Source organism: Homo sapiens, chromosome 3 (assembly GCF_000001405.40).
Source record: "Homo sapiens chromosome 3, GRCh38.p14 Primary Assembly".
NCBI lineage: Eukaryota > Metazoa > Chordata > Mammalia > Primates > Hominidae > Homo > Homo sapiens.
In genome coordinates, this window is record NC_000003.12 from 2,231,060 (window position 1) to 2,245,443 (window position 14,384).

Consider the following 14,384-nt stretch of genomic DNA (forward strand, 5'->3'; position numbering starts at 1 on the left):
CCAAAAAGTAAAATGAAACAGGTGAAATTTACTTTAATAAATCATTTTAGTTAACACAATATGTCAAAAAATATTATCATTCAACTGTACCAATATTAAAACAATTACCAATTAGATACTTTACACTCATTTTTTGCTCTAAATCTTCAATTCATACTAGCCACATTGCAAATACTCAATAGTCACATCTGGCTAGTGGTGGTTACCAAGTAGGACAGCTTGGCTCTGAATAGCATGATAGTACAGTTGCCATGCTTAGGCATGGAGATGCTCAGAGAAGAGGACTGGGAGGAAATTTCCCTAATCCATCCCCTTAACTCCCCCACATTTTGTCATTCAGATGATCTCCTTTTTGTTTAAATGTAAATGTCTTTTTATATTTTTAACCTAACTGGCTATTCATCTCACTGATATTCAATCATCTGATAAAGAGCTTCTATTCTCAAGAGTTCTCTGAGGAAGCAGTACATCTATGCAAGGAAATACATAAACATGACTCCAGTGATTGGAACAAAATTAGAAGATTTCTGAGGAAAAATTGCTGCTATAATTTAAGAAATGTACCTTAGCAACATCCAAGGCTCACGAGAATCAAATTGGTTATTTTGGGTTAAAGTCAAATAAAAGCACTTTTTCTTCACATATTTTTCTTTTTGTCATTTATCTAAAACGAATGGTTGATAATGATTAAAATGTAATTTTACTATAGAATGAGAAGAAAAAGCCAGAAAATATTTGAAGTACTCTTCAATTTATTTAATCAATTATGTCCTGATAAAAATATGCTAATTGCAATTCAGATTGCAAGGATTTTGGTATTTTTTCTTAGCCTTTTAGGTATTTATTAACACAATACAACACATTCCTATGAAATTAACATATAGGATTATACCTGAATTATATATTTCTATAAAGAATTTTCCCTAAATGACAAAGCTTACCAGAGAGCATTTAAATAACATGTTTTAGATATAGATATATATAGTGCACACATGTACTTTTCTTAAACCTTCGTGAATATGACTCTCTTCTGAGACCTGTCTGAAATTTTATATTTCCTAAAATGACTTGATCACATCATCATCGTCATCCAATAATAATAATAAAAACAATGACCTGAACCAGAAATTGTGCTTATTTTTACAGTCAATGCCTCATTTAAATGTCTAAAGCCTGCTAAATAATTAGTATAATTATTAATAATTGATTCCAATTTTACAGGGTTTACAGGGCCATGTAAAACATTCAGAGTAGTTGAACTTAACAGTCAAGTATCTCTAGCTGCAAAGCTTAAGATCTTTTCCACTATACTGTGTTGTATAGCATACTCCAAATGTTTGATGAGTGAATGCATGAGAACAACTGTTAAGATTTATCAATGCTTATTAATACTAGTACAATGCAAGTTTTTTTAATACTCTTTACATGCCTTATCTCATTTTATCTTTACAGCAACCCTATTTTGGTAGCTATTCTGACCAATAACAGGCTGTCTAAAAACTATATAGCTAAAAATTGGTATGCTGTTTTTAGTTTTTTATAAATATTGCTAAATAACTCCATAGAGTTTGTACTAATGAAGGCACTCACCAAAAATGTATGTGAATGTCTATTACCCCAGGCATTTATCAACAGTGTAACACTTTTGATCTTTGCCAACTCAATAGACGAAAACATTGAGTGAAAATATATTTGTTTTCATTTGCATTTTTTAATTATAATTGAGATCAAGTTTTTTTCTTAGCTCTTATCACTCTCTACCTCTACATAATGGCTTGATCAAGGGATTAACAAGCTCTAAATGAGATGACTTTATTATGAGTGGGAAGTCATAAGAAAGGTTGAGTGGAAAGAAGAGACAGAGGAGGTTTTTGACCCAGGAAGACAGATTCTACTTTTATGAATAGTCCCTATTCTCTTCTCTGAAATGAATCGAGCACTTCTGATAGAAATCTGAGTGCATGCAAAGAAATTGGTTAATGGGGCGCCTGTTAAGAGCAGTCAAACTATTCAAGCATGGCTAGCTGCTGTGGCTGCTATGATTATATTTTTAAACTAATGGGGGTCAGACTGAACTGTCTTGAGCTATGACAGTTATTAAACATATACCCACAGAAACCCCAAAGAGAAGCTAATAATTGATGGCCTTTTATTTTTACATACCAGATTCTTCACTGATCCCTGTCTGAAATCCACTGTTGACTCTTCACTCAATAAAATCATATGAATATTGAGTATTTTAATGTCAGTAGATGGCATTCTCCACTGGAAACACACTTCATAACTCCACCGTATGGCCTCTACATAACCTCTTAAGTGGTCGATCAAGAAGCCTTTGCCTGTTTTTGTTTTTCGCAGTCTTGTGATATATTCTGCATTCTCCGTTAGGGCTATATGCATTGATTAGCATATAGATGGCTATTCTGAACTAGGCCAATACTATTCAGCATGTACTACTTAATTTAGGAATAATAGTATTTATGTAAGGATTATTTCCAGTGAACCAGGATAGGCATAGATGGTTTGAGAAATCAAATCTGTTGAGAATCTTCAGACCGTTTTCTTGGTGCTAATTTCAGTGTCCACCCCCTCACCCCCAATTGAACCGTTTAACAAAGCAGCCGTATAATAGAATCATCCTAGATCATAGTTATTATCTGTTGCAGGGACATGAAGGTCATCTAGCTTACTCCTCTAATTTTGTGGATGAAGAAGTTCATTATAATAAGTAAAGACTTTTCTAAGAAAGTCAATGGAAAAGTCGGGACTCCCTAATTTGAGCCCAGTGAATTTTCCTTTCTCAGAATTATCCATGCCCTTTTAAAATACGAAGTGAAATACACAGCAAAAGGTAGAAGAAAATCAAACAAAAAAATCACCTGGAAAATCTACTTTATGCAATTAGTATTGGTAATGCTTCTTCACGATTCCAGCAATGCCATATAATTCCTTTCTCTGTTAGGTATCTAGTAATTTTTCCTTGTTTTCAGCTGATAATTTGTCTGGTAGATTCTGAAATGGCAACCTGCCATTTGACAAGAAAACCAGTAATGGATATGCATTTAAGAAATTTTCTTGGGAGGCCAAGGCGAGTGGATCACTTGAGGTCAGGAGTTCGAGAGTAGCCTGACCAATATGGTGAAACCCCGTCTCTACTAAAAACACAAAATTAGCTGGGCATGGTAACGCACACCTGTAATCCCAGCTACTTGGGAGGCTGAGGCAGGAGAATCACTTGAACCCAGGAGGAGGAGGTTGCAGTGAGAAAAGATCGCACCATTGCACTCCAGCCGGGGCAACAAGTCCATCTCAAAAAAAAAAAAAAAAAAAAAGAGGAAGTTTTCATTGCGTCTGGCTAAGACTTACAAACTTCATCAGCTTGTGGAGTTAGTCTCTGCTCATCTCATTTATATACAGAGCTACTTATCTGATTTGACTTTATTCCTGACACTGGACCAAGAAATTGTTGATGGGGATTTATGCTGCTGATTCTATTAAGAAAATTCATTAAATGCCCTTTTATGAAACTAGCAGGATTGGGTACAATACCTAACATTAGGAAAAAGTCAAATAATTTTCTTTAGCATGAGGCAGATGCATTGTTGATTGCCTTTGTCATAAAGAAATTTTATTTGAATCTTTATCAGCGACTCCAAAATAAGCTTGATCATTTTATGAGTGTGATCGTCACAAAGAGCATATTTCTCTTTTACTTTTTTCTCTTCTCTTTTTCTCTTGTTTAAGAAGTAGCACCAATTTCTTTGCCAGAGGAACATGTGATTGTATTTTCAGTATTTTCTCACTCACAAAAGATTCAAGTTTATGCTAACTGGAGACCAGAAACTTGTCTTTCTTGTTGCTTGAAGCTTTGACAAAATCTGTTTACTTGCTTTGAACAGTATTGCCCTGAGTTTATTTTTTTGGGGAAAAAAAGGCCATACTTGGAAAAATTGAGTTCTTATTTATCTTGGCTTATCTGTTGTATAGATAACATCTGCTGTCTCAGAGCTTACTCAGAACTAACAAAAGAACCAAGTGGCAGAGAACACCCGTAAGTTTATACATTTCAGAGACAAAAAGGATTTATTTTTGCCTGTTCTATTTGTCTTTTGACTACAGTTTGAAATGAGTGATTATTGTGAATAGTTTGAGATGTAATGATGCCAACATTATCAATTTGTACATTTATCAAGGTTATGCATACTAGGATTATGCATGCTATGATAACCTAAAAACTATTTAGGTTAAGCAGCTTATTAATATCCAAGTTAACTTTGATACAGTTACAAACACAGAACCTCAAATATCTATCCAGGAAAGGAATATCTTAGCCTGTTTTTCAACATGCTACAGTAAATATTTAATATTTAAAAATTTTGACATTTAACACATTCAGTATCTTTTTATTTTCCTCCCCTTTTTCTAATAATTCCTATAATTGTTTTTATAAATTTTTGAACTCTTCTCTCTGCTTAAAATAAAATTTCTCCCCAATGCAAATTGTGTTGTCTGTTAACTGTTTAGTAAGAGGAGCTTTGCTATCCTATATGATGAACACTTGATTATGTATTTTGATTAATGGTTACTATGCCAACTAGAGAACTAGATTTCAGTAAAATGATCCCACTAGATTGTAAATTTTGTTAATTTAGAAGTAACAAGAGCATCTAGTATTATGCTTATTCTTGGGCTAATTCATTTCTTTACTATCATTTATTTTATATTAACTCATTTATTTATTGTTACAATACATCCACTTAACACCCAGGTTTTCAATGGCCACTCTGAAAGAGGCATTGTTCTAAGTGCTGGAATACAAATACGAGGCATTATCTTGCTTCAGTACACATACAATGTAGTTGAAGGAAAGATTTCAGTAAACTAGTCAAAAAATTTAGTGCAAGTAGAAATGTTATTATAGGAGATACAGCAGTGGGCCATCTTAATTCAATGGAGAAGGGTTCAGGAAATTGAGGTTGGTCAAGTTGAGTTTTGAGGGATGTTAAGTAAGTGCTTCTTTAGATATAAGGTACTATAAGTTGTACACATTATTATGAAAGCACTGTGTAGCAGCAACATAATCATAATCATTATGAAGTTACAGGATAGTCTCATTGGGAGCAGTTGTTAAGTTTACATCCTCTAGGTCATTGCTAAAACTCGGTAATTTGGCAGGAAGTACGTAGGAGCTGAAGATAGGAGAATCCACTCTGCTGATTAGCAATGAAACCACAGGCCACCCACTGAACCTCTCTTACTTTACTTCCTTATCTGTGAACTGGGATAATACCATTAGGTGCTCATTTAATGTCATTTAATGCTTGATATAAAGTCTAAATGACGTCATGTGTGTGGAAGCATATTGTAAATTGAAAAGCCCTATAAAGTGAAACTGACTTTATTCTATACATATTTATTCACACCTGCTGTGTTCAATTCATTGAACTACATGTGAAGAGTAAATAGTTTTGTTTTGTTTTAGTCTTCAGGAAGCAGTGAGCATTTTTAAAAGGTCGTTATTGAACCCAGTACTTTTTGTTTGGAGGCTCAGGAATAATGTTAATTATTTCCCTTGGGAATGCAACACAAGCCATGTCTGTGTCCAAATGGGACATTAAAAAAGCATGTCCTCAAACTATCATTTTTATTTATTCACTTTAATTTCACTCACTAATACCTATTGGATGTCAGGCTCTGCACTAGACATCAGGATGCCACTCTCATTTGGTGGGCAGTTAAGGCTGCAGTCACAAATCACACATCATAAAAGAGAGGGAGATAGCAAGGGAGATCACATATCAAGTAGGGAGATAGAATGAGTAGGCAGAAGACGGTTAAGAGAGATCGTGCCAGAAGAAAGGGTATGAAATGGGAAGGAACATGGCACATTTTAAGAACTGAAACTTCTTCAGTGTAGCTGGACTGCAGAGAGCAAGATGGAGGATGGTAGAAGATGAGATGGTGGGAATATTTGGCAAAGACCAGACAGTGCAGGGATTTGTAGGCCAATTGAAGAATTTTGGCCTTTTCTCTATGAGTAATGGGAAGACAGTGAAGCATCTTAAGAGGGTTGAGGTAAGAGGGACGATCATACTAGCTACTAAAGTTTGTGGAGTCAGTAGTGGTAGGTTGTGGGGAGGTGGTGGTGAAGATGAAGAGATGTGAATGAAGTAAAATGGTCTTGACTTAGTGGTGGATTGGCTATATAGGAGGGATGAGAGGGAGGCAGAATATCACATTGAATTTAAATTTAGAAAGGTTTACTGTAAGCTGGGTGTGGTTACTCCTGTTTGTAGTCCCAGAAACTCCAGAGGCTGAAGCAGTAGGATCGCTTGAGGCCAAGAGTTGAAGCTGCAGTGAGCTATAACCCACCACTGCACTCCAGACTCAGCGACAGAGCAAGACACTGTCTCAAAAACAAAAACAAAAGGAAAAGCGAAAAGGGAGAAAGGTTTAGTGTAAAATCTTTGAGAGTAAAAAGAGAGAGGGATTTCTAAATCTTGGATTGTGCTTATGCCATTTAAAAGCTTTATAATTGTTGTGCACCTTCTCTAACTTATTTAATATAACCTTCTTGAAGGTTAGATTTCAGGTTTTAAAAAATATTTTATTTCTGGTCTAAAAATTTGGCAGGGATTTTAAAGAAATGGTAAGTGATAAGAAGGGAGTTGTTTTCATTTAGTTTGTAAGGAATGAATATTGGTATTTTTATGATCTGATGAAATTTATCCTTTAATTTCAAGTGAGACAGTTTGACTTTCATATGAAGATTAAATAATTAATTTTGCTTACTTCAGATATTCAGATTTAAATTAGCCTATAGGCCATTATTAAAATAGATTTACTGTGATAATTTTCTTGCTCATCAGGGTAACTTATTAAACAGATTATAAAATATCATAATAAAATCAGGTCCTCTGTAAATCCAGTGAAGAACGTTTTTTAACATGACTTGCCATTGAGACGTTTTTATAAAACCAGTGATACCCCTGGAAAGTAATTGACTAAAGAAAAAAAAAAGTCCAGGTTTATTCCTCATTGTAAAATTCACTTTTTAAATTTGCAGGCTATGAACAATTGAATTTGAGGAATAACGTATTTTGGGATATGTACCATTTTATTTAAATAAGTAAATAATTATATGGTGAAGGAATAATAAATATGTATTATCTTCTAGGAATTGTATAACAGTTTTGATTACTGATTTTGACGGGACTACTTTTCCTTATGAATTATGGAATATATAGCTAAATCTTATATAAACAATATATAATGCAACAGCAATATATTTTCTATTAAACTATAAAATAGTAGGTTAATTTTAACATCAGATTTAGTCCAAAATTTATTTGCCAATAAAATGAATAATAGAAAATTTTTAATCATAAAATTTCATTTGCTGATGTATAATAAAATTGTAGATTTTTCAAAATAAAAAAATCTTAGAAAATATCTTAAATTTGTTATCTGAATTGCTAAATACAATCTTCAATGTATTTAATGCTTTCCCTTCAGCTATTTATTTGGCTTTAAATATTTGGTGATTTTTAATAAAATGTATGTATTTTGCTATGTTAAAAATCCGAATGTTGCCAAACTGTGCGTTTTGGAACCTAACTTACTCCTGTAAAAATGATTTTATGTGTTGTCATTTTTAATTATCAGTTGGCTCTGTGTTTTTTTTTTGAGACGGAGTCTGGCCCTGTCGCCCAGGCTGGAGTGCGGTGGCGCCATCTCGGCTCACTGCAAGCTCCGCCTCCCGGGTTCCCGCCATTCTCCCGCCTCAGCCTCCCGAGTAGCTGGGACTACAGGCGCCGCCACCACGCCTGGCTAATTTTTGTATTTTTAGTAGAGACGGGGTTTCACCGTGTTAGCCAGGATGGTCTCGATCTCCTGACCTCGTGATCCGCCCGCCTCGGCCTCCCAAAGTGCTGGGATGACAGGCGTGAGCCACCGTGCCCGGCCTGGCTCTGTTTTTATTAGAAAAATTCTCAATCGTCGTCTTTTAAGTGAGTCAACCTAATACCTTTTAATTTTGTGCAAAGTTCTCTGTTTTAATAACTTTTAATTTAGTGCATATATCATATACTGGAGAATTATCAATTTATTTGATTCTTTTAGCAATTTATATTTTGGTAATTCTGTGTTAATAATGTGATTTGTATTTGGTTACGCAGTTGCCGATAATCCTGTGGCATTACAGAGTTTGATTTATGCGGACGATCCTTGGACTTAAAAAGGATTACTGACCATTTAAGAAAGATTAATTAATGAGTATAACATTGAGTCCTAACTCTGCTAATGCTTGTCTAAGCTACACACAGATACATGCACAGACACACATACCCTCAAATCTCATACCAAAAATGACCAAATTACAACAAAGGGGATAGTATCCTATCCTGCTAGGCCATCACATTATGGATCAGCAGTGTAGAGCAAGTCTTGTGGGGCCTGATCTTGCTCTTACAAGCTTTGGGATCTTGGGCAATTCAGTTTCCCTAAGCTCAGTTCCTTATTTATAGTCAGTGAGATGAATCCTATGGTCTCTTAGGTTCCTTTTATTTCGTAATTCAAAAAGTTGAAGTTAGAGGTTAATAATTTTGTATTGGTAAGACTGCAATAGCAGTCTTCTTCTTATAATTAATAAATTAAGAAGTTACAGGGACCAAGGGAGAAAGGTAAATTCATTTATAGGGATAAGACAATAAAAGGGTACAATTAATTTATTTGGTCACCAGTGTTCTTGTTTTCTTGCTGAATTTTATGGGATGGGAACAGATCTAGGAAGGAAGGCTCGTCTGTACCCTTTTGCCCTACCTGACGTAAAACTCAGGACTGACCCATCCTAAAATCATTCATTTAGAAAGAATCCCTCATAACCATGTTAGCTCAAGGTTATCTTGTATCTGATTTCTCTCTTCCTGCATAGGTTGCAGACTGAAGAGCATTAAAATATCTGTTTTCTTAGTGGTTTTCCTTTCTGGATTTGAATAATTCACTTGATTCTTCCAGGCTACTTAAATGAAAGAGTGTTATCTAAGAATGCTAATCTTAGTTCCTTTTGTTTGAGATTAGAGAAATCAATGCATTATATTTTTAGTCTAGATAGTAAGTCCTGAATGCCCTTTACTCTGGCCATTTAAAAAACTAAATTATTTTCAGTTGGCTTTCATATTGTGGGGTTAGATATTCATTTGAGATATGTTTTCTTTTTTCCTTTTCCGTTCCTTTAGTTAAAACGAAATCTTACCCTAAAGTGGGATAATAAGGGGAAAGATCCATTGAATTTGAGTATTGGGCTTAGTTTGCATTAAATGCTCCTTTTGTTCCTGTTTATGTATTATTTTAAGCTCGTTTTTCCAAATATACCAACAGCAGATATCAAATGACCATTACTTCATACTAGAAGGAATTTTTATAAACCAGGCCAAAGACTTCACTAGATTTCTCAAACTTTGTTTCTAACTCTGAAATCCTATGATTTTATGATTTTTAATATATTAGAGTAAACCTACAAAATTGTAATTTTGTAGGTGAACAATAGTTAGACAGTGTCGGTTTCATATGATTCAACCTACATATGGAAGCTTAGTCATTGCATTGTTTAGGAAAACTATGTAACTCATGTATGAAAATGGTAATGTCAAGCAACGAAGCTTATTAAGACACTAACATCATTTTTAAAATTTAGTTTTGAATACTAGATATTAAAAATTATATTTTAAACGTTTGTAAATCCAGTGAGAATAAAATGTTCTTTGCATATCTTATTTCTTTTCACAGGGAGTTTTTTCCTGTGTTTTATGAGAAAAATCACAGGCATTACAGTTTGAAATCAATTTCATTGTTTTCATTGCAATTGCTACATAGCTGTTGAATATTTGTAGTAAGGTTTAATGACTAATGAAGTGCATGCTTGATTATATGCCATTAGTAAAAATATATTTTTATGGCAAAGGGCGGTTTGCAGCATGGCATTGACAAAAGCAATATGTAAATGTGTTACTCCCCTTCAAAAGAATGCAAATCAGTATAAACAAATTTTAAGGAAAATATTTAAAAATAAACAATTAAAATAATGGATATTTATTGTTTGTTACTTATTGAGATGATATGAATATGTAAATAGAGCACTTAGGTCTACTTATTTTCAGAGGCCAGTGTACTACTAATTAGAAAAGTTGTAGATATCATAATTACTGTAGTAAATTAATTTGTCTTTATTGCTTACATTTTATTGCTTGGTATTCCAGGCATTGGATAGATAGTTACAATGCTGACATCAAGAGTGTTCCCACGATTATTTCTCCGCTTTTCTAATCATCAACTCATTATATGTCCCTTATCCTCCTGCTACTTATTATCACTTGCCATTTCACTCATTATTTGCTCCTATCTCTCTGTCTTTGCTCATTCAATTCTCTTTTCTAGGGATACCCCTTCCTTCCAGTTCTTACCTGCCAAAGCTGTGTTTGGCTTCTAATGTTTAGCTTAATGTCTGCATCTTCTGCAATGTCTTTCAGATGTCTGCAGTCAGAACTCTTTACTCAAGGTCACTACCGTCAGCTTGTCTTTCCACTGGAGCTCATCCAGAACACATTGCTTTGTGACCAAACACATTCTCTCTGTATCTGCCTCCCAATTAGACTGTGTACTTCTCTTCCCCATGTTCCCTCCTTTGACACAAGTCATGCTCTTCTAAGCAATCCAGGCTTGTTCAGTTGAATTATTTTCTAAAATTAAAACGGTATGCCAGACAAGGTAATACAAGTCTAGGCTTGATTTTTCCTGAGTGTTGTGTTTGCGGTGGGTGGGCCAATTATTTCTGTTCCTTTTCAAAGGATCTCACTTATCTTCTTGTTTTCTGCCCCATTGGATAAATCATCTCATGTCATCATTTATTTAACTTCAAACACAATTTCTAAATGTTGAGGAATACGAGAACAAAAAGAGCATGTCTGCATCTGCATACATGGTCTTAGGTATTGGGTGAAAGACCATCAAAAACTTATATTAGTACTAGGAAGAACACAATTATTTTAAAATACATTAAATGCATAATAACTTTTAAAATTAAGGGTCAGGAAGAAATCTCTAATAGAAATCACAAAACGATAGACATTTTCTTTGACCATTCTTGCTTTGCTTCTCTAATGTATATTTAATATTAATATAAATAACAGCAGTAATGACAACCATAATGGCCACTACCATGTCATAGAATGTACTATATGCATTCACGTGTTTCATCTGATTTGGTCCACATATCATAACATGAAGTTGGTGAGGCTGAGGCTATATATGTTATTCAGACTCAAGATAGAAAGGATTCATTAGGAAAGGGTTCATGAGAAAAATAAGCTTAAAGCACAATGTTTTCTTCCAACTTTCCATTTCAGGGGTACATATGCAGGATGTGCAGGTTTGTTACATAGGTAAATGTGAAGCAGAGACACTTTTTTAACATCAGTTCTCCAGTGAGTTCATAGCAGATTACAGGGTCAAAATATATATGCATACACCATAGTAAGCACCATTTAAACTTGTAGAAGTAAGAAAATTGTCCTTGAATAGTCAGTTCAATCTTCCTGTGCTCTATTGAGTGTATCTATCTGTGGATACAAAATGAATAAAGATGGATCTGGACATTTCACCCTTCCGCATATGGGAGTAAAACCTATAAGGAGACTAATAATATCATGCATCACAAATTACTTGCTGCAGTTAAAGAAGTTTTATTCAGATCCTCATGATCTCACAGGGATCCAGTATCTTGAGAGTTGACGAACTTTCCATAAAAACACTAATCACGTATAACAGTTCAGTCAAAATCTACTGATATAGATATTCCAAAGTATGGCAGGAATTTAGAACAAAAGATGGAAAATTTGAAGGCTCTGATCTGTAACATTTCTTCTTAAAATATTTCAGCTGACTTGCTTAGCCTGGTATGCAGAATCTGGTGCAAGCTGAGCACGGTCTAAGTTGCCTCATCATCTCAGCTCTCCATGCTTCTGTATTTGTATACTTCCATACTTAGCAAGTAACTGTTCTCCCTCCATGGAATGTATTATTATCCTCTGCCACTGTCCTCTTAAACCTGGCAAATGCATAACTTTCTTTTGAGACCTACCTTTGTTAAGACCTAGCTCTTTGAAGACTTCCCTGATTGTCCAAGGTAATGTTGACTTTACTTTGTAACTGTATGTATTTTTCTTATGTCAGCAACCACTGCTCTGGGTTATTACTATATTTTTCTCTCCCAAATAAGACAAGAGGTTCTGTTAGAAGTGGAACCTTAATATCCATTTTTATGTGATGAATTTCTAGGCCCATGTGTGGGCTGTATTAAAGGATTAAAGCAAGCTTGTTCAACCTGTGGCCCAGGACAGCTTTTATTGTGGCCTGAGACAAATTCGTAAACTTTCTTAAAACATTATGAGATTGTTTTGTGATTTTTTTTTAGCTCACCAGCTATCATTAGTGTATTTTATGTATGGCCCAAGACAACTCTTCTTCCCATGTGGCCCAGGGAAGCCAAAAGACTGGACACCCTTGGGTGAAAGCTTATTAGTAATGAGTAAATAAACAAAATGGAGTGGATGAATAGTGTAGTTCACTATGGACAAGTTAAATAATGCTTTTCTCAATGATAAGGGCAAAATGAAAATTCTGAGATTTCTACATGCATTATCCTTGAAACCTTTAGTATTTTACATGTAGAGAGGTCATTGTTCAGACTCGCATTTGATAGAGTAATCAGTGTTGAAGACATTCCCAATGGTGTAAGTTGCCATACTTCTGCAGTATAGGCTGGTTGCCCACAGGAAAATATTGGAGACAAAGCTGAAAGCAATGTAAAAACCTTGTGAAAAAGCAGAATGTATCTTTGAAGAACTGCACTTAATATGTTATTCAGCCTAATTTGTGCATTTTAAGTAACATGTTGATGAGTTGTACGGTAGTTTTCCTTTATCCATAGCCCATACCACAACTCCAAGTAGATGCCTGCAGATGGTACTGAACCCTTATATATACTATGTTTTTCCTGTGCATACATACCTATGATAAAGTTTAATTTATAAATTAGGCACAGTAAGAAATTAATAACTATTGATAAAATAGAACAGTTATAACATCATACTGTAATAAAAAAAATCTATGTAAATGTGGTTTCTCTCTCTGTGTGTCTCTCTGTCATCTCAAAATATCTTATTATACTGTACTCACCTATTTTTGGACTGTGGGTGACCACAGGTAACTGAAGCTGTGGAAAGCAAAACCATGAATAAGTGGGGACTGCTGTATGTGTTGTAGAGCTGTGCTGTCCAGTCTGTCAGCCACTACTTACATGTGGCTACTGGGAAATGGAAATGTGTGCCCAAAGTGATATGTGCTGTAAGTGAAAAATGAACATTAGGTTTCAGAAGATAAGTACAAAAAAAGGAATATGAACTATTTCACTATTGTTTCTCTGTTGAAATGATATTTTGAGTATATTAGGTTACATAAAATATATTATTAAACTTAATTTTATCCCTATCTCTTTACTTTTTAACTGTTACTGCTAGAAAATTTCAAACTGCATATGTGTCTTGCATTATATTTCCATTGGACAGTCCTGGAAAGGAAATTATGATTATCCAGAGAATAAAGTCATTAAATAAAAGGAAAGGTTAAATAAAGTATGACCCGTCAGGAGAGAGACAAACAAGGAGAGGGAACAGGGTAAGTCAGCCAAGCATGGAAACATGTGGCGATTGCTCAAGGGCTTGTGCTCTGAATCTGAAAATGCTGTAATGGTCTATGAAAATACTTTTAGAGCTAGTAAATGAAAATAAGTGCTTATATAACATATAAACTTAAAAAATTCATGATATTTAATGTTCAATAACTATGAGAAGGCTTAATCAACCTACTGTAATATTTTAATTAAAAATCATTCTAACGTCAAATAAACGGAGAAATACTGTCCGTCTTCCATAATAGATACAATGGATGGTTTAATGTTAAATACCCTGAGAAGTCTTACAGCTAAAAATTTATCACTGTTTCAAACAGAATTGTTCCCATATCTGGATGATAGAACTCACTCCTCCTATGTATTTAATAATCAGTATTCTATGAGATATATTTTGGGAGATACTTAGTAGAAGATAAAGTCACTGTATTTTATTAGGGATGAAACTGAGGCTAGGGAGATCCCTAATTCATTTGAGATCTAATATGTGGGCAAAATAGACAGATTGGTGCAATATCCAGCACAGTTTAACAAACACTTTCCGAGTAGCTACTTTGTGCCAGTTATTCATTCTGGCAATAAGACGAATAATACAGCCAGGTTGGTGAATATCACAATTCATAGATTCTCAGGTGATTGT

General features: G+C 34.5%; 1 protein-coding gene across 29 annotated transcripts in view; it reads left to right on the forward strand.

Moving 5' to 3' along the window:
- The window catches only part of CNTN4 (contactin 4), a 959,094-nt gene that overhangs the window by 132,194 nt on the left and 812,516 nt on the right, over positions 1–14,384 (forward strand). The window contains exon 1 of one of the 29 annotated variants that reach the window (NM_001206955.2): positions 7,770–8,009. The exons of the other annotated variants lie outside the window; for them this stretch is intronic. The gene's annotated coding sequence lies outside the window, so the exon portion shown is untranslated. Of the gene's footprint in view, positions 1–7,769; positions 8,010–14,384 lie in introns of those variants that run through there. 29 annotated transcript variants of the gene reach the window in all.